A 26,462-nucleotide genomic window follows, 5' to 3' on the forward strand; every position below is an offset into this window, starting at 1 on the left:
AAAGGGCGGGCGCACTACCGGGAGACGTGTCAAACTCAGCGCGCCTCATGGCGGCCGCGGAGCCCCACCCGCTCCTACTCCAGTCCTCTCACGCCCACTGACTTACCCTGCGCACGCGCGCTGAGGCTCCGTGGGGCCGCCGCGGGCCCCGCCCCGAGGTGGGAGGGCCTGACGCATCCACAGCTGGCCAATCGGCGGATGGCCTCGCGCGCCCGCCCCCTCCCCCTGCCCCCGGCGCCGGGCTCCACGTGCCAGTGTTTGTGTACGTGCGGCCGTGGCGGGGCTGGACAGGGTCCGGGTCGTTGAGGATTAGGCTGCTCGGGCGTAACCGGAGCTGGGGCGCGGCTGCCAAGGGCCGGCCCGGAAGTCCCAGCGGTCTTTAAATTCTCCCGTGCTAGGGCCAGCCTGCGCATTCTTACCTGTCGGGGTGCGGCGAGTGTCTCACCTCTCTGCACTTCCAAGGACTCTTGTCATCTGCCTTAGGCGGGAAATGCTGTTGCTGGATTGCAACCCCGAGGTGAGATTCGGGCTCACAGAGCCCGAGCTTTTGTCCTGCAGGCTCAAGCTTCTAGATTCGTCTTCTCGTTAATGCGGGGACGGACCACTGGGCGCTGCCTGGTCAGAGCTGGTTGTGAAGGGCGGGGAGGTTTCCAGCCCGGAGGGGCGCGGGACTGGACAAAGGTGGGAAGGGTGCTGGATCTGTTCTCTTCCTGCAGGTGGATGGTCTGAAGCATTTGCTGGAGACAGGGGCCTCGGTCAACGCACCCCCGGATCCCTGCAAGCAGTCGCCTGTCCACTTAGCCGCAGGAAGCGGCCTTGCTTGCTTTCTTCTCTGGCAGCTGCAAACGGGCGCTGACCTCAACCAGCAGGTAACTAGGTAACTGTTGCTGTGTACAGCCGTCCCCTCCAACCCAGACACACACAAACATTTCTCAGACGCCAAGAGTTGTTTCAGCTGTTAAAAACATGTCTATAGCAGCGATGTCCAACAGAAATATAATGCAAGACACAGATGTAATTTAAGAGTTTTTTTCCAGTCTTGATGTGAGGACATGAGAAATTTGAAGTTTTTAAGTAGCCACATTAATAAACGAAACATGAAATTTTAGTATTTGACCCAATTTGTCCAAAATGTTATCAGTTCAATATGTAATCAAAGCAATTGCTGATTAGATATTTTACACTTTCTTTTATTCTGTCTTCACAATCTGGTGTGACAGCGTATCTCAAATCAGACTAGCCACATTTCAAATACTCTAGCCTTAAGTGGCTGTTGACTATCATATTGAACAGCACAGATCTAGTTTATTTCAAAAGAAGTAATTGCTACATTACCAAAAGTCTCCCTGCAGCAATTGAAATACTTAGGAGCTATGTCCACAAGCATTCTAATTTCCTAAAGAGTTTTCTTACTGTAGTTTGCATCTTCCACTGAATATTAAAGCATGGTGAATTTTAAATTGTAAACTTTTCTGGAAGAACTCTTTTTATTTGCTTACATTTTAATGTATGTGCATATGGCTACACGTTTTTATTTATTTGAGACGGAGTTTTGCTTTTGTCGCCCAGACTGGAGTGCAATGGCGCGATCTCGGCTCACTGCAACCTCTGCTTCTTGGGTTCAAGAGATTCTCCTGCCTCAGCCTCCCTAGTAGGTGGGATTACAGGCACGCGCCACCGTGCCCGGCTAATTTGTGTATTTTTAGTAGAGACAGGGTTTCACCATGTTGGCCAGGCTGGTCTCGAACTCCTGACCTTAGGTGATCCGCCTGCCTCAGCCTTCCAAAGTGGTGGGATTACAGGCGTGAGCCACCGCGCCCAGCCACACATTTTTATTAATGAAAACGGTATGAAAAAGCAAACTAAAAGAACTAATCAAAAATAAAAAGCTTTTGCAGCTTACCGAGGAAAAAAACAAAAATAAAAAGCTTGAATTTAAAAATTCAGTCCAAAGGAGGAGATTTTTAGAAGGTTCCATACTGAAATGAATATGCAAGCATAGTACATTTCTATGTTTCAAATTAGCCCATGGAGTTGGCTATCCCTAATGTAATCACTAAAAGTATCTAGAAGATCTAAATAAAGGAATGATCATTTCAGAGCGTATGCTAGAATGCTGAAGTTATAATAGTCCACTAGTTACTTAATTCTGCATTTCTGAAGTGTTGCACTTGCAAACGATTATCAGTAGTGTTTTTAATTAGAAGAGATGTTGATGCAGGTTTATATGTATCAAAAACACATGACTTCTTAGTCTTAAAAGTGACTAAGACTTCTTATTTCTGAAAACAAACCCAAAACCGGAACTGAGAATGAATATTAACAAAATAAACCCACGAAAAGTTTTTGGTGTTCTCTGCCAAAAAAAAAAAAAAAAAAAATTCCCTGTCCAGTACAATGCAGTTCTAACTAGCTTCCTTAAATAGCTAATATTAAATGTCACTCATCAACTTTCACAAAAAGTGTTTTTGGGAGACTCTAAAATGCACCATCTTACCTTAAGGATGTTTTAGGAGAAGCTCCACTACACAAGGCAGCAAAAGTTGGAAGCCTGGAGTGCCTAAGCCTGCTTGTAGCCAGTGATGCCCAAATTGAGTGAGTATGAAAACAGTGGCTTCACATTTTATGTTTTCTTGGATTAAACTAATCAGACTCCTGAAGCTTAGTTACATGTGCTTTTAAAAATAATGCTTGCGTAATTGATAATTTAGTGTTAATCATTTAAATGTTAACTTAGGTTGTTGGTGCTATCGAATAATACTCAGTTCGAGTAAGTAAAAAGTCAGATCCTGAGCAATCAGAGGTGCAATTTTGTTCATTATGACTGTATTCTACTTCAGTTTCGGTTCAGGAAAACCCATTCTATAGTTCCCATTGACTACCTTTGGGTACTCATACACTGTATTAAACATCAGATAATTCTAACATTCATTCAGAACTGGAATGCCCGCTCTATGCTGGATTCTGTTAGTTGCTGAGGATACAATAGTGACCAAAAATGCAATTTCCTTATGCATCCTTTACCTCTTCTGTTCTGCAACCAACATTTGTATGAGCCCAAAATTCCCTTGTAAGATATAAAAAAAAAGACTTAAGTTCAATGTTTCATTTCACTCCGTTTTTATCCTGTTTTCAGTTTATGTAATAAGAACGGGCAAACAGCTGAAGATCTCGCTTGGTCATGTGGATTTCCAGACTGTGCCAAGTTTCTTACAACAATTAAATGTATGCAGACAATAAAAGCAAGTGAACACCCTGACAGGAATGATTGTGTTGCCGTGCTCAGACAGAAACGGAGTCTCGGAAGTGTAGAAAATACCAGTGGGAAAAGGAAGTGCTGGTAAGTAACTCAGAGCTGCTGCTTTTTTCCTCCCGCAGTGATCTCTTGTTTGCATAGCATTTATTATTCCATTTAATACTGACACTCGTATTTCTAGTAGTATTGTTTCATTCTCATTAACATTTTAGTACTGGTTATACTTACCAGAGTCTAGAGACCAAAAATGGGACTGCATGGTGGAAGTTTGGGGATAAAACTCTTTTTAAAAAAAAGTTTTTAATGTTAACGTGTTTTTAAAAACAGATGTCACGTGGGTTATGAAGAAGTCTGAAGAACGCCTTCATTTCATGCAAATCTATAAGCTCCTGCTTTTGGCTTTACCATATGTTGTGTCTAATCTCCTTCTGAGAAGGACGAAAAACTTTCTTCCAAGTGAAGATCCATTTAAGAACACATGTATTTACATGCCTATAATATGCTGGTTGTGTATGCTTTGTCTTTTAAGTTATTAAAGGAACGTCTAAAAAATACATTCTCCGTGCAGTATTTACAACCTTTGAAAAAGGTCATAATTTAAATCGTCAAACTAGAACCAGGATTTAATGTGAAAAATTAAACTGATTCTTTATTCACAAATTTATAATACCACTCTACTGCAGTCTTTGACTCCAAGATATTTTAAATCATATTTGGTCGCTGAGGAAGACATAAGTTATAGTATGCATCCTTGTTCCAAAAATCTGGGCCCTTCCATCCGCACCAGCCCTGGATAGAGAAGACGGGAAAGGAAAGCCTTTTACAAAGTTACAAGATTATGTCATGGAAATCGTGACATCAGGCTCTGTCAGCAGGACCTTGGAATAAGACTCTAAATGGCTTTATCATTCAAGGATTTGAATTCCTACTAGCATAGAAAAGTAACGTATCTTACCCTTTAAGGTAGGTTTTTGAACTTTTAATTCTATGTATGTAATTCATCATAAAAATCATTAAAAAAAATTTACCTGTAACTGTTATTCCAGATACCACACTTTACTGATTCTGAGATGTATAGTTTTACCACTTGCAACTGATAGCATGTGACAATTGAACTAGCAATCTGTTTTTCTTAATAGTCCATAAAGGACTGTAAGAGACCATTCAGTGGCATCTTAGGATTGAAGTACTGTAGTGAGAAACCTCAGCTTGCCCCCTGCCTGGCACTCTGTGCCCTTTCATTTTCAAATTCCAGGTGTTACTCAATTCTACTTCCCATGTTTCATGTCAGTATTAATCCTTTTTGCCAGCAGAGAAAATTACTTTCAAGCAAAATCTCATTTAGAGTATGAAAATTTCTCAGATTTCTCCTAGGGCCACTGAGTTATTTTATTAAAGAAGAAAACTTAAAAGCCAATAACTGGTCTGTATTATATGATTCTTAAATGCTTTGAGAAATCCTTGCAAGGAGGCTGAGACTCTGAAAATACCATGAAGTGAGTGACAAGCAGCGGTCTGACTCCCTCCTAATAAGATACACGTTGTCAAAAAACAAGATAAAAGTAAAAAATCCTCTACCAGTCCTAGGTAATCCCCCACTCTCCCTAGGTAACCAGCATTCTATTAATCATCTCATTTTTTCAGCAAAACTTTCTCTATTAATTTAATGTCCTAAAATCTGTTCTCTTAACAGACAGAGAAAAAAGGCTCATTCTGTTTTAACCTTTTTTTGATCCTTTTACACATGAAGGCCTTGTCCAGGTAACCAGATCCAGATTTTTTAAAGGAGAAATTGGTAGAGAGGGTGTCAGAATGGGATTGCATAGGGACATAGTGCATAGGACATGCTTCTTTCCTGTGAGATGACCAGCATGGGAACTTCAAACAGGAAAGCACCACAAGAAGGCAAAGAGGTCAGGCAGAGATGGAACTCTCCTCTGGCCTCCTGGGTTCCTGGAGTCAAGTGAATCAATAGTTTTAATGGCAGGACCTTGGCTGCACAGTTTCTTGTGTATACAAATAGAGCAAGGAGGTTTCTGCTGTTGAAAAGTTCTATAGAAATAGAACTAGCAAAGATGGAGATTGCAATTCTCAGAGAAAGAAATCAGGGACAATCCCTTACTCTAATTGTTCAGAAACCTTACCTAGATAATGCCATGTAGTGCAGAGCCCCTTGAGTCAACCAGAAAAGAGAAATTTGATGATGAAAATAATTAAGGCTTCTCCCTGCCTTTAAGAAAAAATCGAAATGCCTGGTTCACAAAGACCACCCTTTCTGACTGAGCTTGGTGTGTCCTTCCAGCCTCACCTCTTCGCCTAGCTCTGGACGCACTGATCTACCTGCAGTGCGGCTTTCACTGTTTCTACAAGGCAGGGGCCACCACAGCACCAGCCTCGTAGAAGCACCTGAGATACCATTTTTTTTTTCTCGAGAGTCCTTTTTGCACTCTCCTTCTCTGTCCTACCCTAAAGGTTTTAGCTCCCGAAAAACCTCGTGTAATACTAGTGCTTAGGACAGTGCCTGGCACTTGTTAGGTACTTTAATAAATACTGAATGGAATGAACACCTTGCTACAGAACAAGAATATTGCTACTATATTCAGTAAGATACATGCACCAGTCAAAAAACCTTTTATAGACTTCAAATTCCAAATGCTGTGAAAGAGAAAAGGAAAAAAAAACACTTAAAACTGTAACAACACATTTCTATCCTATTAGTGTTTATACCCTTATCATAAACAAAAGACTTCAGTAAACTGAGGATATAACAGAGTTGGACTACACACATTAAAAACTTTTTTTTGAGCTGGAATTTCACTCCTGTTGCCCAGGCTGGGGTGCAATGGCGCCATCTCAGCTCACTGCAACCTCTGCCTCCCGGGTTCAAGTGATTCCCCTGCCTCAGCCTCCCAAATAGCCAAGATTATAGGCGCCCACCACCACACCTGGCTTATTTTTGCATTTTTAGTAGAGATGGGGTTTCACCATGTTGGCCAGGCTGGTCTCGAATTCCTGATCTCAGGTGATCTGCCCACCTCAGCCTCCCAAAGTGCTGGGATTACAGGTGTGAGCCACCACGCCTGGCTTAAAACTCTTTAACATATTAAAACATTTTATCTTTAGTTTATAGTTTAAAAGGTGGTTATGTATTCTCTGCAATTTCAATGTATTTGGCAGCGAATATAAATGTTACTTAAAATTCAAGTTAATTATGTTTTACAATACTTTCTCCTAAAGACTTGGTACTGAGTTTTCATATGTGAGAATTAGTTGCCTATGAATTAACAAATTTTTACCTCCTTTATCTGCTATTGTAAGTAAGAATACTCTTAAATATGTATCAACTTCAAACCCTTTATAGAATGAGATTAGGTTATATGTAAATGAATTAAAATTAGTCAAGCCTCCATAATGTCTAGCATACTGCTTAGCTATCTTTTGGTTAATTCTAAAATTTTAAAAGTTTATATATTCTGCTCATCTATTTTAAGACATTGATAAACTTTGATACATTTGTTTATGAAAGCTCTAAAATCTCCAAAGGAATATATTTATGAGTGTGTGTCCTATTATTAATTTTAATAGCTGAGAAAGTTTCTATAAACCTAAATTTTGTCTTTTGCAATGTGCTTTGTTCTTGCACATTCCCTATACAGAGACGGCTACTTACAACAGCCTCAGAAGGCCTCCACACAGGGAGATCTCTGCCCTCAGCTTATTGTCTTTCTGTTACCAGCCAGTTTGTGATCCTTCATTTCTAGCTTCTTTGCCTTTTGTCTCAATTTGTGTTAAATGGATACTTACCTTTTCCAAAATAACTTGCAGGTCTTCAGCACCGGTATAATGTGGATCTAGAATCAGAAACTTTATCTGCCCTGTAATCTCATTCCATGCAACTCCTAGTATTGTGTGGGCCAAAACTCCTCCCCCTATAGAAGAAAAAATAGGAAATACGAATGAAGGCATAAACAAATGTCAAATGCCTATTCAATTTAAATAGACAGATTACGGCCGGGCGTGGTGGCTCACACCTGTAATCCCAGCACTTTGGGAGGTGGGTGGATCACGAGGTCAGGAGATGGAGACCATCCTGGCTAATGCAGTGAAACCCTGTCTCTACTAAAAAAATACAAAAAAAATAGCTGGGCTTGGTGGCAGGCGCCTGTAGTCCCAGCTCCTGCTGAGGCAGGAGAATGGCATGAACCTGGGAGACGGAGCTTGCACTGAGCCGAGATCATGCCACCGCACTCCAGCCTGGGCGACACAGCAAGACTCTCAAAAAAAAAAACAAAAAAAAACAACATTACTTTGCTTATTAACTGATCTAAAATAGCATTAAAATGGACTACCCTACACTATAAAAGACACAATGTCAGATATACTCTGAAAGGATAAAATTACATCTTTAACACAAAAGATACAATCATATCTATAATCACATACAATTTATATTCTACATTCACATCCATATAATTACCTAAAATGGATTTAGAAAGGGCCATAAACTCCTCCCAACAGAGTAACAATCTGCTGTAGTGCCTCTCTCAGCAGATGGTCCTGCTGCCTCTGAGTACCTCCAGTGATATAGCACTCCATTCATTAAGTTTTTTTTTTTTTTTTTTTTTTTGAGCTAGAGTCTCACGTCACCCAGGCTGGAGTGCGATAGCGTGACCTCGGCTCACTGCAACCTCTGCCTTCCAGGTTCAAGCAATTCTCCTGCCTCAGCCTCCTGAGTAGCTGAGACTACAGGCGCACACCAGCACACCCAGCGAATTTTTTGTATTTTTTTTTAGTAGAGACGGGGTTTCACTGTTAGCCAGGATGGTCTCGATCTCCTGACCTCGTGATCGACCCACCTTGGCCTCCCAAAGTGCTGGGATTACAGGCGTGAGCCACTGTGCCCAGTCTTTTTTTTTGAGACAGAGTCTTGCTCTGCTACCCAGGCTGGAGTACAGTGGGCAATCCCGGCTCACTGCAACCTCCACCTCACAGCTCAAGCGATTCTCCTGTTTCAGCATCCCAAGTAGTTGGGATTACAGGTGTGTGCCACCACACCCAGCTAAATTTTGTATTTTTAGTAGAGACAGTGTTTTGCCATGTTGGCCAGGCTGGTCTCGAACTCTTGGCCTCAAGTGATCCGCCCGCCTCAGCCTCCCAAAGTGCTGGATTACAGGCATGAGCCACTGTGCCTGGCTAGAAAATGTATTTTAAAACATAAGCTCATACAATCAGGAGTCAGGCGTGAGCTACTGGGCCCGGCCTACTCATTAAGTTCTTTCTGATATTTTGCTGACATCAGCCTACCTCCATTTCTTTTTTTTTTTTTTTTCTTTTGAGACAGTGTCTCACTTTTGTAACCCAGGCTGGAGAGCAGTGGATCTCTTGGCTCACTGCAGCCTCCTGGGCTCAAGCAATCCTCCCACCTCAGTCTCCTGAATAGCTGGCACTATAGGCTCACACTACCATGCCAGCTAATTTGTGTGTTTTTTTTTTTTTGGTAGAGACGCGGTCTGGCCCATGCTGGTCTTGAATTCCTGGATGCAAGCTATCCTCCTGCCTCAGCCTCCCGAAGTGCTAGGATTACAGGTGTGAGCCACTATGCCCAGCTTCTACCTCCATTTCTTACACACTAGTCTCACCTTGCCTTCTGTCATCACAGGACAGGTCTTGTTCTTCAAAGAATTAAGCATCTTTAGATCAGCTAATCCAATCTTCTTATTTTACAAATAAAATCCACAGAGGTAAGTAATTGCAAAATCTCACAAAGCCAGCCCAGTTATGACAGAGTCATGACTTACGAAGCTCAGCTGAGTGACCGTTTCCTCTTTTTAATACTGTTCTCAGCTCTTTAAATGTTTGAACATAGCTACCATTTCTCAGCCTTTACTTCTTCTGGTTATTATAATCTTTTTTGTAACCTTTAAGCCACCTTAGAAATTTTTTTCAATATCCAGAGATCCATACATATGGTGTAAAAGTTAATTTCAAAATTTTTTAAATGACTGATTTTATGCAACATTAAATATTTATATCAATGATAAGTTTTGCATATTACTCACTCTACCAAAAACAGTGTCTGAAACAGCTTACCGATCATAACTGGAGTTCCTTCACTTTGGAAATGATTAGCCAGTTCCCGTCCTTGAGAGGCAATTTCTGAACCTTGGCTAGAAAGAAACCATTTTCTATCAGATGAACTACTTCCAACACTACGGTCAAATAATGAGCTAGGAGACAATGTTTCCTACTTTCTTGTTTTTTCGGGTGTTACTGAAAAAATATATAAATGTAAAAAAATTAAGTGTTAGGGAACTGAGAGCAATTAAACTGTGCAATTTAAAGCAACATAAACTCAAAATACTTAAGGCCACCAAGTGTGCTAGATAAGACGCTAAAAGACCTTGATTTTCTGCTTCTTGAACTGTATAAAGGAGGCCTGGGTTTTTAACATGAAGTTAAAACATCACCTTGGTGCTCAGGGAGTTCTTATGGATGGATTAATCAGAAGAATGAGTGTTAAGTCCTGGGTTCTTGCCTTCTTGCTGGTAGACTTCTTAGTCTGTATTTCCTCATCTTTAAATTGGGACCCAAAACGCTGACCTGTCTACATAACAGAGGAGAGTCTAGGCCTAAAATACATGTCTGTGAAATCAATGTGAAAACTGCAAAATGTTTTCAAGTGCAACATACTATTTTTAGGGAATCTCAGAATTTTTACTTTTGAAAAGAGAAAGATAGATGGGATAATGAAGGGAGGTATTTTTTGGGGGAAGGTGCCCGGTGGTGCTAAACCTTAGCTCTTGCTTAATGAGGAACGTATGTTTTAATGTACCAAAACTGTAACTTTTAAAAAAAGTTCTTCACTACTTAAGTCTGTCATTGTTTTATATTATTATTATTTTTTGAGATGGAGGCTCGCTCTGTTGCCCAGGCTGGAGTGGAGTGGCGCGATCTCAGCTCACTGCAACCTCCGCCTCTCAGGTTCAAGCGATTCTCCTTCCTCAGCCTCCTGAGTAGCTGGGATTACAGACGTGTGCCACCATGCCCGGCTCATTTTTATATTTTTAGTAGAGACAGGGTTTCACCATGTTGGCCAGGCTGGTGTCAAACTGCCAACCTCAGGTGATCCACCCACCTTGGCCTCCCAAAGTGCTGGGATTACAGGCGTGAGCCACTGTGCCCAGCCAGTCTGTCATTTTTTTACCACTGATTTCCATAACCACTGAGGAAAGGATAAAATTACATCTTTAACACATAAAAGATACAATGAGGACGATGTTACTGTAATTAACAATAGAAAATGTATTTTATTTGTTTTTTGGCTTTTCTTTTTTTTTTTTTTTTTTTTTAGAAAATGTATTTTTCTGTTTTTTTTTTTTGAAAGGGAGTCTCGCTTTGTTGCCTGTGCTGGAGTGCAGTGGCATGATCTTGGCTCACTGCAACCTCCACCTCCTGGGTTCAAGCGATTCTCCTGCCTCAGCCTCCCAAGTAGCTGGGATTACAGGCATGCGCCACCATACCCAGCTAATTTTTTTTGTATTTTTAGTAGAGACAGGGTTTTGCTCTGCTGGCCAGGCTGGTCTCAAACTCCTGACCTCAGGGGATCCACCCACCTCGGCCTCCCAAAGTGCTACGATTACAGGCGTGAGCCACTGCACCTGGCTAGAAAATGTATTTTAAAACATAAGCTCATACAATCAGGAGTCAGCTAGTTATGGTCATAGAAAATAATTAATTTATATTTTCTCATTTTAATATTAGAATTATGGTTAAGATCATTGGAAAAGACAAAATGAATACATTATTTGAACACATTACTAGATTATTAACGTTTTAGAAAGAAAAAGAGCAGGAGGTAAACAAAAAGGTCAGTCATAGTTCAACATTTGAGTTTTGCCTTTTAAGACTTTTTAAAAGATTGGAGCATAAAGAAACTGTTAATATAATTTTTATGACTTTACTCAACGTTAATATATTTTTAAGTTTTCCTCTTCTAGGCTAAAATTAGGCCTAAATAATACAAGTATACATTACATCACAAAGTTTATTCATAAAATCAGAGCCTTCCAAAAAAAAATGAAAAAAAATTAAGATTAAAAAATGAGATTTATAAAGCAATGAGTAATAAGGAAGAAGGAAAAGGAATAAAAAGAAATAAGGGAAGATACCATTTTTTCTATTATTTTAATTAAAATGACAGACTGTCACTTTGAAATGATTTATCTAATTTCTTAAAGTGTGCTTACCTGACAAACAGGATTTTTGACGTTATACCGATCAATTGGTTTAGTACCAGCTGCACCTCAATAGATCCAATCCATTGCCGCGATCCGACAAATGTTGCTGGTTTGTCCCCGGCATCGACTAGAGCCTTGATGTATTTAAAAATATAAAACATCCATACACAAGACAGCTATTAAAAACGATGTTTAGGGCATTTTCCCTGATTACCAGTACAAGAATTTTTTTTTCTTCAAAACAGAAATAAGTCTGCACCATGAGGTAACAAAAATTATCAATGGTATATTAAGGGCTAATGAAACATACAGTTGATTATAATTTAAAACGGTATGTTCTGTACCTGCTGAATTTCTCTGTGTGTTGGAATGGACCTCTCTGTGTATCCCTGATGTTTGAACCAAGAGCAGATAGTCTGCAGAGATCGATAAGCACAGCCCCAGCCATTGTCATCTATGCGATCCTGCATATAATGATGATAGCCATATATGCCCTGGACCACATAAATCTATATACAGAGAAGAAACACAGTAAAATATTAACTTAGGATAGAAGTACATATTCTATATATGCTCCCGAATTATGTTTAATGTTCTTAGAGTTAGACTGTTACTTTAGTTCCTTATAAAAATGCCTTCACAGATCTATGGTTTAACATTATACCTTCTTGGCTTTTTATTTGAGGTTCAAAGTCCTTACCACAGGGCCCAGCAGGACCTACCTTCTGGCCTCCTCTCCAATTTCATCTCCTAAACTTTTCCCTATTGCTCCCTCTACTTTCGGTTCCCATATACCAGGGGCAATATGACCTTGGAGCCTCATGGTTCTCTTGGCCTGGAACTCTCTTTTCCCAAATTAATTGTACAGCTTGCACTCTTACTTCACTCAGGTTTCCATTTAGATGTCAAAGGTCTTCCTTGACCATCCAGTCTACAAACGGCCCACTCATTCTCTCACTACCCCACCCCCTGCCTCACCTGTCATCTCTGTCCTCTTTATGTTTTTATTTTTCAAAGTATATCATGACTTGATATACTTTAAATGATACATTACTTATCATTTAAAAAATATCTGCCTACTTACACTAATATGTGAGCTCAGTGAGTACATACACTGTGTCTTATCCATTTTTGGGCCCAAGCTTCTACAACACGCCTGGCACACGGTTAATATAAATGCTGCTGAATAAATGCTGAATGAATGAAGGAAGGAATAAAGGAATGAACAAACAAATGAAGGGTCCATATCATGGGACACAGGAAGAATGTGTCTAAATTTATAAACCTGCTATGATTACAGCCCAAGTATGTTATTTGATGACGCTAAGTTAAGGGTCAAAAAATAAAGATAAATAAATTACTAATATCATATAAATTCTTACTTATAGTGCTAAGAATGTATATGTCTTTTTTTATTAAAGAACTGGGTTTTTGTTTTTATTTTTTTGAGATTGGGTCACACTATGTTGCTCAGGTTGGTCTTGAACTTCTAGGCTCAAGTGATCCTCCTGCCTCAGCCTCCTGAGTAGCTGGGATTACAGTTGCACACCACCATGCCTGGCTCCAAACTGATGATATTTTTAAAAAATTAAGTGAGAGGAGATAGGGACAAGATAGAACCAACCCTCACCCAACAATTAGAGAATATATATTCTGCCCAAGCACAGATAGAAAAATTTATAACTTGACCATTGTGACAGGCTGAAAAGTGGCTCCCAAAAGGTATGTATGTCCTAATCCCTGGAACTTGTGAATGCACCCTCTGTGCCAAAAAGTAAAAGAAAAAAGGAAAGCAAAGGTATTCATAGACGTGATTAAGGATCTTAAGATGGGGAGGTTATCCTGGATCCTAGTGTGCCCTAAATGCAATCACATATATTCTTAAAAGAGAGGGGCATAGGAGGAGAAGGTAATGTGACTGAGGAGGCAGAGATCGGAATGATGGGGCCACAAACCAAAGGATGCTGGCAGCCATCAGATTAAGGAATGGATTCTCCCCAAGAGCCTATGGAGGGAAGGTGGTCCTGCTGACATTGTGATGTCAGCCCAGTGATACTACTTTCAGAACTCCAGAACTGAGACAATACATTTTTGTAGTTTTAAGCCATCAAATATGTTATTATTTTTTAGGGAACAAATACAAGTTTCAATAAATTTCAGAGTTAGTTTCACTTAGAATTCTTTCTGACCAGGAGGCAAGAGTCAGAAACCAGTTAAAACAAGAAGAAAAAAAAAGCAAAAAAGAAAAATAAATTCTGACATATTTGGACATTAACAAACACTTCTAAATAATACATGGACAAAAGAAAAACCATAATAGAAAAATATAAAAATACTTAGAAGTGAACAAAACTAAAATCCTTCAAATTAAACCTATAAGATACACTAAAAGCAGTGCTTTGCTTGAAATTTAAAAGCTTACATTAGAAAATAAGAAAGCTGTCCAGGCACGGTGGCTCATGCCTGTAATCCCAGCACTTTGGGAGGCCGAGTGGGTAGATCACCTAAAGTCAGGAGTTCGAGACCAGCCTGGCCAGCATGATGAAACCCTGTCTCTACTAAAAATACAAAAATTAGCCAGGCGTATGGCTATTGCCAGTAATCCTAGCTACTGGGGAGGCTGAGGCAGGAGAATTGCCTGAACCAGGGAGGCAGAGGTTGCAGTGAGCTGAGATCATGCCACTGCACTCTAGCCTGGGCAACCGAGCAAGACTCCATCTCAAAAAAAAGAAAGATTAGGCCGGGCGCAGTGGCTCACGCCTGTAATCCCAGCACTTTGGGAGGCTGAGGCAGGCAGATCACGAGGTCAGGAGTTTGAGACCAGCCTGGCCAATACGGTGAAACCCCATCTCTACTAAAAAATACAAAAATGAGCTAGGCGTGGTAGCACCCTCCTGTAATCCCAGCTACTTGGGAGGCTGAGGGAGGATAATCGCTGGAACCCAGGAGGCGGAGGTTGCAGTGAGCCAAGATTGTGCCACTGCACTCCAGCCTGGGCAACAGAGCAAGACTCCATCTCAAAAAAAAAAAAAAAGAAAGAAAGAAATATTAGCAATAAGCTAACATGTCCAACTTAAGAAGTTAGAAGAAAGACAATAAATCAAAGAAAGAGCAAAAAAAAAGAAAGTAAAGAGCAAAAATTAATAAAATCAAATACAGAAGTTATAATAGAGGGGGCCAACAAAGCCAAAAGTTTTTTTTTTTTTAAAAGACACAAGGCATAAAAATGATATGAAGAATGAAAAAGAAAATATTATGACTACAAGATATATTAAAACCTAGGTAAATAACTTATAAAAATCAAAAAGTCCTAAAGCTGTTACCAAAACTAAATTGGTTACTAAAAATCTTCTCACAAAGAAAATGCTACGCCAAAATTGTTTTACAGGCAAGTTTTACCAAATGACCAAGGAAAGATCATACCACTCTTATATAAACTTCTCTAAAAAACTAAAAAAGGAACATTAACCTAACTAATTTAGTAAACCAGTATATCACTAATAAAAAAACAAAATAAGAACAGTATGAGAGAAGAAAATTATAAGCCAGTATCATTCACGAACATAGATGCAAAAATCGTAAAATATTAGCAAATGGAATCCAGAGGGGAATAAAAAATAATGAGTCATAACCAAACCGAGTTTATTTCATGAATGCACATCTATATTGTTGAGAGATTTGTGCCAAAGTATTTAAGGGTAAATAATATATCTATAATTTTCCTTGAAATGGTTCAGAGGGGGAAAAAAGAGGGAGAAATGAAGCAGATATAGCAAAATGTTAACAACTGTTGCACATATGTATCGAGAGGTATAGGAATGTTCATTGTCTAAACAGCAAAAAAACTTGGAAAAAATCATAAAGATAATTAACTATGGTTAGACAAAATACCAGAGATGTTTGATATGTAATATTGAGTGAAAAAGCAAGCTGCAGAGACTACGTACAGAATGATACCATATTTATAAAACTCAGAACTATGCAATACTAAAAGCGACATTGCTGAGATTGATATGTAACATATACGCTGAAACTACTTTTTAAAAAGGAAGGAAATGATGAACACAAAACCCATAATAGTTCCTCCTGGAACTGTGTCGAGGAGGCAGAGGAGTGGGTAGGGAAAGAGCACAGACTGGTAAAGTTTTGCTTCTTAAATTAGGGAGGAGCTCCCTGGTATTCATTTCCCCACTGTGCTTTACAATTTGCATATGTTATATGTACATATCAAATATTACATGATAAATATGTAAAGTATATATTTTTCTTACGACCTTGTAATACAGATATAATGAACCTATTTTATTGTCAAAAAGCAATCAGTACTCATTCAATACCTTCTGTGTGTCCAGGTTCTTCTAAGGAACTATTCTTTTTGTGAGGAACTTTCTATGGAAGCTGGTTGGCCCACAGCTTTTGCAGATGATCTGCTGCCCTGAGTACACTCTAATGACCAAGACCACAAGTGGGCCCCTAACTCATCTAGGGTACGTACTGTATCGTATATGCATTTTTTTAATTCTTAAGATTTCCTCAAAAGTCCTGGACGCTCAGAAGGTATTAATAAATGCCACCATACGATAGCCAAGTTTTCTTTCTCTTGGGAATCTGAACTGAGAGGTGCAGAGTTAGCCAGGCAGCCAGGAGCAGGAAATGCAGTTGGAATGAGGCATACACTGGGCAGCTGAGGAAGAACAGGAAAAAGTGACACACAAGCTGAAACAGTGAGGATACAGAGGGTATGAGGTGGAGCAGACAGAGTAAAAGTTAAGAACAGGCCAGTTAGGATCACAAGCATACACAGAAAGCAATAGCAATGCCACCAAGGTATCCACGGAGTCCTTGAGAGAGACTGAAGACACCTGCTAGTCACAGGGCTGCTGTTTCTAAGAGGCCCAGCTCTATTGGTATTCCTAATCTTGGATGCCTTATAAGGTCCTTTCTCACTGGCCTCCATGTATCCTTAAAGTAACCCTTCCACCACCCTCCGCCAATTCACTCTTATTTGAGCTACCTTTAGGGAGGATCTATCCCTGGCAACCGGGTATATGTTACATGGAAAATAAGTCTAGTTCCTCATTAGACTTATCCTACAGTGGCTGGGCATGGTGAATCATGCCTGTAATCCCAGCACTTTGGGAGGCCTACATGGCGGATCACTTGAGGTCAGGAGTTCACGACCAGCCTGGCCAACATGGTGAAATCCTGTCTCTACTAAAAATACAAAAACTAGCCAGGTGTGGTGGCAGGTGCCTGTAACCCTAGCTACTGGCCAACATGGTGAAACCCTGTCTCTACTAAAAATACAAAAATTAGCCAGGTGTGGTGGCAGGTGCCTGTAACCCCAGCTGCTCAGGAGACTGAGGCAGGAGAATTGCTTGAACCCAGGAGGCGGAGGTTGCAGTGAGCTGAGATCACACCATTGCACTACAGCCTGAGTGACAGAGCGAGACTCTGTCTCAAAAAAACAAAAAAAGATTTATCCTACAGTGTGGTTTGGGTAGACTATGCCCTTAATTAGCATGATTTCTCAGGTTCAGAATGAAAAAAAATGGGACAAGCCTTTAAAGAAATAAGAGAATTTTAGTAAGATAAATGTGGTATATCTACCTATTACTAACTTTTCTAGACCATTTTTAATTACTGCTATCTTAAGCAATGTCTGTTAACAGAGATGGGTGATAAATCATGTTTTAGGAATGAATACATAATGAATCAAGTCTCCTACTGGGTACCAACAAAAAACAACTAATAACATTACTGATCCAGTGACTCCCATAAATAATTAGTTAAACTCACCATACCAGTCTCCATGTTAGGTGGATTAAGGTAAGTATGTGGATTTCTAATGTAACCATCTTTGTATGGCTCATCTGGAAAGTGATAAGCATTAGACCTTTTGAAATAGGGTCTGTCGTGAGGCAGATTGAAAAGATCATGTAACTCCTAAAATAAATCAGAATCAACAGAAAAAGAAAAAATGTTGGTGATTTAGATTCCTAGTCAATAAATAAAGATGTTATTAAACATGGAAAATTATATATAGGTTATAAAAGTTTCCAAACACTTATGGTTTAATTCACTAACATCAAAGATGGTGAAAACTGAACTAAAACCAAGTAAGATTTATTTTCGTTTACGTCTGTATCTGGGTAGAAACTGGAAGGGAACAGAGAAAAATGAATATAAATTGTTAGAGTAAGAGAACTAATTTTTAAATAATTATTTATTACAACATAGTCTGTTAAAATACATCCAGGCTAAAGACTGGTTTTGAAATAGCCTTGTAAATGAGTAAATTATAATTAACAATAATTATATCAAAGTATTTTGCAAAATTGTGTCGAGTGCCTTACAAATATTTTATATTGTAAGTGGTAGTGATTAAACTACAGAGTAGAAGTTAGTGGTCTAAAGCCAACCAATATGGCAGGAAAACAAATACACATATATGTTTAAAATGTGTTATTTTCCCAACTATATAAAAACATGTAATAGGTATTTTAAAAAGTTTGACATGTTCTTTATCATATCTTGTACTCCAGTGGTTTTAAAAGATCAGCTCCTGTAGCTATTGCTTCTACAAACCAAGTCACCTCCACATACAGAGGGTCAGGGTATTCTCGCTCTCCCTAAGGACAGAAATTAGGAAGATGCTCCACGGTCTAATTTGATAGGTTCTAAGCGAGTCCACATATCAAAAAGATGCACTCCAAAACCAGTCATGAGTAAATCTCATTACTTTGAATGCTGGTCATGTTTTCTCCAAAATTCCTCTAATAAAGCCCAAATAACCTTACTTGTGGAGTATTACCATAAATCCTATTCAGAATTAGCATAAGTTATCATTTTCCTTCCCTAACTGTAATCTTGTCTCTTTCACAAATCGGAAAGTTATAGAAATCTGTTAATACCAGCAACTTTAGGCATGTAAGCACCATTTCTATATTTCATTATGGAAAAATATTAAAATTTCACAGAATATATGAACCACACCGAGCATTTAAAATTAAAATGTTACATATAGGTTCAACATAACATTTTGTCATTAATACTACTTAAAGTTTCATGAGAACAGAAATTAAATAATGTGTAAAATGAATAGTCTAAATTCCACACTTTTAAGTTAAATCACAAAATACCTTCCATTTAGTGGAAATATATAATTAAATACAAAATGAATGATAGTCATTATTGTTTTTTCTAAGAATAGATGAACTGGTTTTACCTTCCTATAGGCCTGCAGCTGGCCATCTGGTATTCCTGAAGGATATGAAATTGTTACAAGATTTTTTTTCCCTGGTAATAAAAAGTGCAGTGGTTCAGGGACCACAATAGATGTTCCTTTCATATATTTCAAAATACATTTTTCCATGTCAGTTAGTTGATTATGAATTGCATCAACCAGGAGTTTACGAACTCTGTGGGGGGAAATATATAAGTGTATTAACAAAAGTTATAGTGACTACAATAAAGAAAAGTACAGAGCTAATATATCCTTAGTATAGTAAAAAACTTGATTGGACCAGGTTTGCTAAAGGAAGTCTGAATTATACATTATAAAAGAAACTGTGTATTTGCTCTTTGTGGATAAAGGGAAATCCTCCAGGTTTTAGCATGCTACCCTACTTCCTCCAAATAACCATTTAATTAATAGATGGCTCTTAGGTTAATAATAAACAAGGAGAAAATCACACCTTAGGTATACCTACAGGATATACAAACATGGGTTTGGGGAAGGGCCCTCATTCAAATGTGGCAGTGGTACTATAAAAATACTTACTTTCCCCATGTTTCTTCTGGAGCAACAGATATAACTGCATCGACAGGTAAAGTCATATTAACATAATGGTGTCCTCCGCTTTCCCTTTCAATGATGGGCGTTACAGCTGCCAGGGAGGTTGACATTTCCAGCATAAGATCTATATTTACTATTTGATGCTATATAGATAAACAGTAATAGTCAACTTGTAGTGCATTAAACACTAAATATAAAGAGTAAGTAAAAAGACTTTTCAAAAATGTATTTATTATTAAGAAAAAAATTTAAGACTAGCCAAGTACAGTAGTGAAAAGGGGGAAAGAGTAGAGAACAAGGAGTTCAATCTGTAACTGGCTGTGAATGATCAACTGAGATAACTCACTACCCTCAGACCAGCCAGTAGAAGGACTTTTAAAGGACAGAATATAAAGCTGTACTACAGTAAAAAGATTAAAAGCACAAATATTATTTTAAAAAGAAATTATTTTCTGCTTCAAAATAACATGGGGAGAGGGATTAAGAAGTAAAGATGAAATCAGACTGGCCATGAATAAACGTTAAAGCCACGCATAGGTTCACTGGGGTTCGTTACATGATTCTCTCCACTTTTGTACTGATTTAAAATGTTTAGAAAATCAAATTAACATAAAATAACCACACACCAAAGGAACTTTTAAACATATAACTATATACCCCTGGTCTAATACATAAATAACTATAATCAAATACTGAACTCTACTTTGTAGGTTTGATTTTTACAGGGGTATGAACAATTGTGAAATTTACACTAAACTTATTTCGCAAAATACTGAGGATCCTGGGAGTCAGACTTCTCACTGGGAAAAGGTCAAGCACTCTAGGGTTGAAGTGGAACTGGAGGTATCAATGTGATTTACACAGATAAAAATGAACGTGTTATGTGTGTGTGTGGATAGTATAAAAGTATAAAAGTGTGTGCCCATGGAAAAATGACTGATTCTCCAGCTAGAACAGAGAAAGCACATGTTGCACCTGGAACATCTGATGGGTAGGAAGTGCCCAAAATTACAATGTTAGAAAGGCACTGGAGCCAGCTTGAAGAAACTTCTATTGGCCAAATCTTGGAAAATGTGAGCATCAAAATAACTAATGATAGTACCAGATTATAAACCACTGCATAAAATAAGCATCTATGGCAGATAATACAAAAGGAAATGACAGATTTAGAAAAATCACCACTTTGTAATCACCAGATTAATATTGGATTCTGGCAGAAATTATCAATGGATGCTAAAAGTGGTGGGTCAAAATCTGATGAGGACTAAAGTAAGATACATATGTAGTTTCTTCCCACAAGATACTAATTATAAGGGAAAAAATAGTACCTTTACCATGGAGAAAACTGGTGGATACCATCTTAAGTAAGTGAAGTTAACCTCACCAATAATAGCAACAGACTGATAACTGTCTCTTTCATACCATGTGCTGAGGACACAACATCACTTCTGTGGTATTCCTGCCAATAGTGCATGACCTAACTCTAATAACAAGGAAGCATAAAACAAATCCAAAAGGAGGGACAGTCTTAAAAAGAACTCACCTGTACCCCTCAAAATGTCAAGCTCCAATTACTGGTAATTTTCAAATCATTGTATCCAGCCCACAATTATTTTATGCATTCTACATCTGTAAATCTAACAGCTCATCTGTACATCTTACTGAGGTCTTAAACATGGCCCAAACCAACTTCATGTCCTCCTCACCTTCCATCTTTACCCACACAAGAAACTGATCTTGCCAGTTAGTTTCCAAGCAGAATCCATTGTATCCCTAAATATCTCTTGTATGCAATCCCTCTTCTCTATTTCCATAGCTAGTGGTTTAGTTAGGCCTCTTCTAAAGAGGCCCACGCCCACCTCTCCAGCCTTATGTCCACCCATTCTTCCTCTACCAGCCTGGAAACACTGTCGTCACATTAACTTCATACAACTTCGTGCCTTGAAGACGCATCTCCATTTTCTATCTTCAATATCTGTTAAAGTTTGTGGCACATGGCAGGTACTCAGTAATATCAGTTCAAAAATCAACAGAACCAGCCGGGCGCGGTGGCTCACACCTGTAATCCCAGCACTTTGGGAGCCTGAGGCAGGTGGATCGCCCGAGGTCAGGAGTTTGAGACCAGCGTGGCCAACCTGGTAAAATCCCATCTCTACTAAAAATACAAAAATTAGCTGGGCATGGTGGCAGGTGCCTGTAATCCCAGCTACTCAGGAGGCCGAGGCAGGAGAATCACTTGAACCCGGGAGGCGGAAGTTGCAGTGAGCCGAGATCGTGCCACTGCACTCCAGCCTGGGTAAAAAGAGTGAAACTCCATCTCAAAACACACACACACACACACACAAACAACAGAACCAAGAGTAGTGTGAAGAAAAATAAATCATTTACTATTTGTCTTATGTGGCACAATGTGTCACTTTGTCATGATTCAGAATGCGATTTAATTTAAGTAATTTATAAATGTATTTAGGCTGTTTTATTTTTGTGGGAGCAAAGAAAGCATTATAAAAAAACCCTTTTGAGATTATGTATTATAATCAGACAAAAACTTAGATAAGTAAGACAAACATATAACTTTTGGCAAGTCATTTAATCTTTTTGGACATCAATATTCTGACCTATGATAAGAGGGTTAAATTATTTCTAAGATTGCACTCAGTTCCAAATCCAAAGATTTAACATTTTTATCAGTACAGAAGACAGATAGTTTGCTTACCATGTCTGATAACTTTTTGTCCTTCTTTCTCATGAATTTTCTTTTTATATCTTCTTCTGGCTCAAATCTAAATTTTTAATACACAGACATTTATAATATGAAATGATGTTTTGAAAACATTTCTAGAAATCTTCAAACATACTCACTGAATAAAGCGCAGTATGTTCTTACAAGCAGAAGCATCAGTCAGTTCTCCAGGAATGGTGTTTATGTCACTGCTAGGCCATATATACACTGAACTGTGGCAAATTCTGAACACAAGGGCGTTTGAAGACAGCTTAGTTGACAGGTCACTCAACACATGTTTCAGTGCCTTCTTGAGAAAAATTTCTAAATTAAAAGAATATAAATAGAAGTTAAGAAAAACAAATTTTTCAACATGAATGGTTCCAAACATACACAAAAGTAGAGCATAGTAAAACTCTCAATACCTATTCCCCATATTCAATAATAATTTCAAAATTTTTTGCCTATCTTTTTAAAAAAGTCTGTGAGACAAAATTCACAGACCATCAAATTCATTCTTTTAAAGCAAACAATTTAGGGCTTTTAGTATATTCATAAGGTTTCATAATGATCACTAATTCTAGAACATTTTCATCACTCCAAAAAGAAACCCTGTACCTACCAGCAGTCGTTTCTCATTCCCCCTACTTTTCTCTAATTGAAAATTTTCTGATTTACCTCCTACATCTTTTCTTTTTTTTTTGAGATGGAGTCTCGCTCTGTCGCCCAGGCTGGAGTGCAGTGGCGCGATCTGGGCTCACTGCAAGCTCCGCCTCCCGGGTTCACGCCATTCTCCTGCCTCAGCCTCCCGAGTAGCTGGGACTACAGGTGCCCGCCACCACACCTGGCTAATTTTTGTATTTTTAGTAGAGACGGGGTTTCACCACGTTAGCCAGGATGGTCTCGATCTCCTGACCTCGTGATCCACCCGCCTCGGCCTCCCAAAGTGCTGGGATTACAGGCATGAGCCACCGCGCCTGGCCCTCCTACATCTTTTCTAATTTGCACATGGTACCCCATGGCCTGGTGGGGGTGCTGGAACACAATATCCAAGTTTAAATCCCATTCAATCCACTTACTAACTATATGATCTCACAGTTTTTATCTCTCATCCAGCTTCCTTTGCAAAATGAAAAGAATTTCAGCATACTACCCATGGCAATTATTAACCTACTTTTTTCTTTATGGATTTGCCTGCTGTGGACATTTCACATAAGTGGAATCACACATTACATGGCTTTTTGTGTCTGGCTTCTTTCACTTAGCTTAATGTTTCTTCTGTATTGTAGCATGAATCAGTACTTCATTCCTTTTTATGGCAGGATAATATTCCATTGTGTGGATACACCAATTTTGTTATTCATTCATAAATTGATGCACATTTGTTTCCACTTTTTGGCTATCATATATATGCTGCCATGAACATCTGTGCATAAGTTCAGTTTCTGTGTGGATGTGTTTTCAATTCTCTTGGGTGATCACCTAGAATAGAATTTCTGAATCACATGGCAACTCTCTATTTCACACTTTCAGGAACTGCCAAGCTGTTTTCAGCAGCCGCACCATTTTATATTCCCATCAGTAATCTATAAGGATTCCAATTACTATTAAAATAATGTATTACTTATAGCAATAAAACTATTGAGTGAAATTTAAACCTCTTAGTTCTTTTTCTCTTTGGACTATATCCCACTAGGCCTATATAATCAAAGCTCTGTGTTCTAAAGTCACGGTTGGTTTTTTTTTCCTCTGTATGGTTATGTCACCAACATATTTGCTTTAGTTTGTTTTTGTTTTCAAGGATTTCCTTTTAATAGACTTTTTAAAAAATATGTTTGAATATTCAAAAAATTAGAGTATTTTAATATTTTTGAATATTTGACACATTCAATTTGGAAACATTTTTACGTTTCCAAAGTCAAAACAATATAAGAAGATATAGTCAAAGAAGACAATCTTTCAATACTCATCTTAGCCTTACATTCCTAAATCCTAAGCCTATTTAACCTTGTAAATATTTATTCAATGACCTGATTCTGCTGAAAGAGTATTTAAAAAATAAATAAATAAACAACGACCATACTGGTATCTTGATAAATAAATACTTTGGAGCTATTGTAGAGATTACTCATAACAAATCAGATATTAAAATATTTTGATATGTTTCAGAAAGCAGAATTTAAAGATTTTCAGTTGCACTACAAAAGACAAACATAATTCTTAAATTAGCTTCTGTTTATCCCTAAAGGACTATTTGGTAAAGTTACCTAAAAAAAACTGTGAAGCCTTTAAAGTTAAGCATGTCCATTCTCTATATTTTCTGATTAATGAGAAGCCCTTTGTTGAGTGTTGACAGAGTTTGATAAAGGAGAAGGAATACAATCAAGTCAGAAGACAAGTTCAAATATATTAATTACTAGGTAAAAAGTATCTGTAGTCCTTGTTTACATTTGATTATTGGATTATCTACTGATTAATGGATTAATTCTACTTTGGAATAAGATTATAGTAAAGTATGTTTTCAGTTTATATCAAGTTGTGAAATGTAAGGTTTTATCCATAAAGTAACATTTTAGGAACAGCTACACTCTACTAATAACATAGGCCTGAAAATGAGTGATTTAGTCCTAGTAAAATGGTTCTCATCTTAATGGCACATTAGAATTACCTAGAAAGCTGACTGATGCCTGGGTCTCTGTCCCAGAAATGTAGTTTAATGTAGTCTGGTGGCAGGGATTCAAATGTGGACCAAAACTGAGAACAATTTATTAGTTGAAGGGATGGGTGGAAAAGAATATTCTGCACCCTCTCCCTCCCTTCCACGGGGCTAGTAAAGGATGGCCAGCTGCAATCTCCTTCAAGGAATGCTGGTATCTGATATAGTTTTGATGTCTGTCCCCTCCAAATTTCATGTTGAAATGTGATCTCCAATGTTTGAAGTGGGGCCTGGTGGGAGGTGTTTGAATCATGATCCCTCATGAATGGCTTGGTGCCATCCTCACAGTAATAAGAGTGAGTTCTCACTCCTATCAGTTCACAAAAGAGCTGATTCTTTAAAAGAGCCTGGCACCTCCTCCTCTCTTTTGCTCCTTCTTTTGCCATGTGATACACTGCCCCCTCCTTTGCCTTCCACCATGATTGAAAGTTTCCTGAGCCTCACCAGCAGCAGATGCTGGCACCATGCTTTTTGTACAGTCTGCAGAACTGTGAGCCAAATCAACCTCTTCTTTATAAATGACCCAGTCTCAGGTATTCCTTTAGAAAGATGCAAAACAGACTAATACAGTACTTTTAATTCCTGATCTTTCTGAACGGCTCTGTGGCTTCTGGCACCACTACTCGTACTTTTCATGAGTGATTTCATTTATAATGAGGGTGTTAACTATCACCCTTCAGAGACATTACATTCTCTAGCTCCAACTCTGACCACACTCTTCTAAATTTCTGACTCAGCCAAATGCCTGTTGGGAATTTGTACTTGACCTTCCACTGGCATCAAATGAAACAAATCTCAAACACAGCTCATCCCATTCCTCCTCTGATGTTCTTTATCTCAGTTTGTGGCTGTAGTTCAAGTCAGCAACAGGAAGACATCCTAGAATCTGCTTCATATAAACCCTGTTGATTTTTCTTCCATAGAGTTCTTGTACTCATCCCCATATAATGTAGTATTTAAGAGAGTAGGTTCTGGAGACTCAGGATTGTACATACACTTGCAAGTCTGTCATGTACAATTCTCGACGCACATTTACAACGTGCTCATTGTGGATATTTACATTTATTGTAACAATTAATGAAGAGGGGAGTAAAGTCTCTTAAGAAAGGGAACATCTTTTTCTAATTTGCACAGAGGTGCGCCATGGGCTGGTGGGTGTGCTGGAACACAGTGTCTAAGTGTAAGTCCCATTTAATGTACTTACTAACAATATAATCTTAGTTCATCCTATCTCTCTCTCAGTTTCATTTGCAAAGTGGAAATAATCTCAGTATATTTCACTATCAATTTTCTAATAAAAAAGAATTTTTCAGAAGACCTACCATTAGGAGTAGCTAGCTGAAAAGCCAAATCAAGGCCTCCTCTTATTCTGAAGAGTATATCCATACTTTCTGAAATCACCTAGAACAAATAAAGATAAAGACAAACTCCCTTGTAAAACAAAACAAACTCATATTCATATAAATTAGAATCTAAGTTTAGTGTTAAGACATTAATTAACCTTGATTCTTCAAATTATTTCATGAGTTAATTCCTTGTTTTATAGAAAAAACAAAAACAAAAGCAACCCCAAAATTTTAAATCAGGGGTTCTCAACCTTTGTTCTATACTGAAATCACCTGGGGAGCTTGAAATACTGAGGCCTGGGCTGTACCCCCAGAGATTCTGATTAACTGGTCTAAGGCCTAGGCACAGGGATTTTGGTTTTTTGTTTGGAGACAGGGTCTCACTCT

The 26,462-nt window shown here is 38.6% G+C and overlaps 4 protein-coding genes across 14 annotated transcripts in view, besides 1 other annotated feature; 2 read left to right on the plus strand and 2 right to left on the minus strand.

Annotated features, from left to right (window-relative positions):
* The window catches only part of LRP2BP (LRP2 binding protein), a 33,416-nt gene extending 32,562 nt beyond the window's left edge, over nt 1-854 (minus strand). For 5 of the 7 annotated variants that reach the window (NM_001385606.1, NM_001377442.1, NM_001377443.1 and 2 more), the window contains exon 1: nt 420-854. The gene's annotated coding sequence lies outside the window, so the exon portion shown is untranslated. Of the gene's footprint in view, nt 1-106 lie in introns of all 7 variants that reach the window. The other 2 variants (NM_001385605.1, NM_001385604.1) reach the window with 1 other exon arrangement.
* Nucleotides 24-393: a silencer, noted in NCBI's record as "silent region_15855". NCBI's record gives its function as "represses an Ori minimal core promoter by ATAC-STARR-seq in GM12878 lymphoblastoid cells {active_cell/tissue: GM12878}" and the evidence as "EXISTENCE:reporter gene assay evidence [ECO:0000049][PMID:35858748]".
* On the plus strand, nt 408-4,290 carry ANKRD37 (ankyrin repeat domain 37). 2 transcript variants are annotated; one of them, NM_181726.4, is made up of 5 exons: nt 408-517; nt 717-869; nt 2,504-2,595; nt 3,137-3,340; nt 3,584-3,808. In NM_181726.4, coding segments are annotated over exons 1-5 (477 nt in total). In that variant the 5' UTR covers nt 408-490; the 3' UTR covers nt 3,585-3,808. The 2 variants fall into 2 exon arrangements, with proteins under 2 accessions (NP_859077.1, XP_016863665.1); XM_017008176.2 differs by having other exon boundaries at nt 3,137-4,290.
* Nucleotides 3,104-26,462, minus strand: part of UFSP2 (UFM1 specific peptidase 2) — a 26,428-nt gene continuing 3,069 nt past the window's right edge. The window contains exons 2-12 of one of the 3 annotated variants that reach the window (NR_028085.2): nt 26,052-26,130; nt 22,179-22,337; nt 22,008-22,074; nt 19,277-19,434; nt 18,722-18,914; nt 17,293-17,439; nt 11,838-12,002; nt 11,503-11,627; nt 9,347-9,423; nt 7,061-7,185; nt 3,104-4,045 (exon numbers count right to left, since the gene is read on the minus strand). Coding sequence is in view for 1 of the 3 variants with exons in the window: in NM_018359.5 (NP_060829.2) it covers nt 3,959-4,045; nt 7,061-7,185; nt 9,347-9,423; nt 11,503-11,627; nt 11,838-12,002; nt 17,293-17,439; nt 18,722-18,914; nt 19,277-19,434; nt 22,008-22,074; nt 22,154-22,337; nt 26,052-26,130 (1,407 nt within the window). In the remaining 2 variants the exon portion in view is untranslated. Of the gene's footprint in view, nt 4,046-7,060; nt 7,186-9,346; nt 9,527-11,502; nt 11,628-11,837; nt 12,003-17,292; nt 17,440-18,721; nt 18,915-19,276; nt 19,435-22,007; nt 22,075-22,153; nt 22,338-26,051; nt 26,131-26,462 lie in introns of all 3 variants that reach the window. The other 2 variants (NR_144317.2, NM_018359.5) reach the window with 2 other exon arrangements.
* The window catches only part of CFAP96 (cilia and flagella associated protein 96), a 41,393-nt gene continuing 26,931 nt past the window's right edge, over nt 12,001-26,462 (plus strand). For both annotated transcript variants that reach the window (XM_017008239.2, XM_017008238.2), the window contains exon 1: nt 12,001-15,980. The gene's annotated coding sequence lies outside the window, so the exon portion shown is untranslated. The remainder of the gene's footprint in view (nt 15,981-26,462) is intronic.

Source organism: Homo sapiens, chromosome 4 (assembly GCF_000001405.40).
Source record: "Homo sapiens chromosome 4, GRCh38.p14 Primary Assembly".
Lineage (NCBI taxonomy): Eukaryota > Metazoa > Chordata > Mammalia > Primates > Hominidae > Homo > Homo sapiens.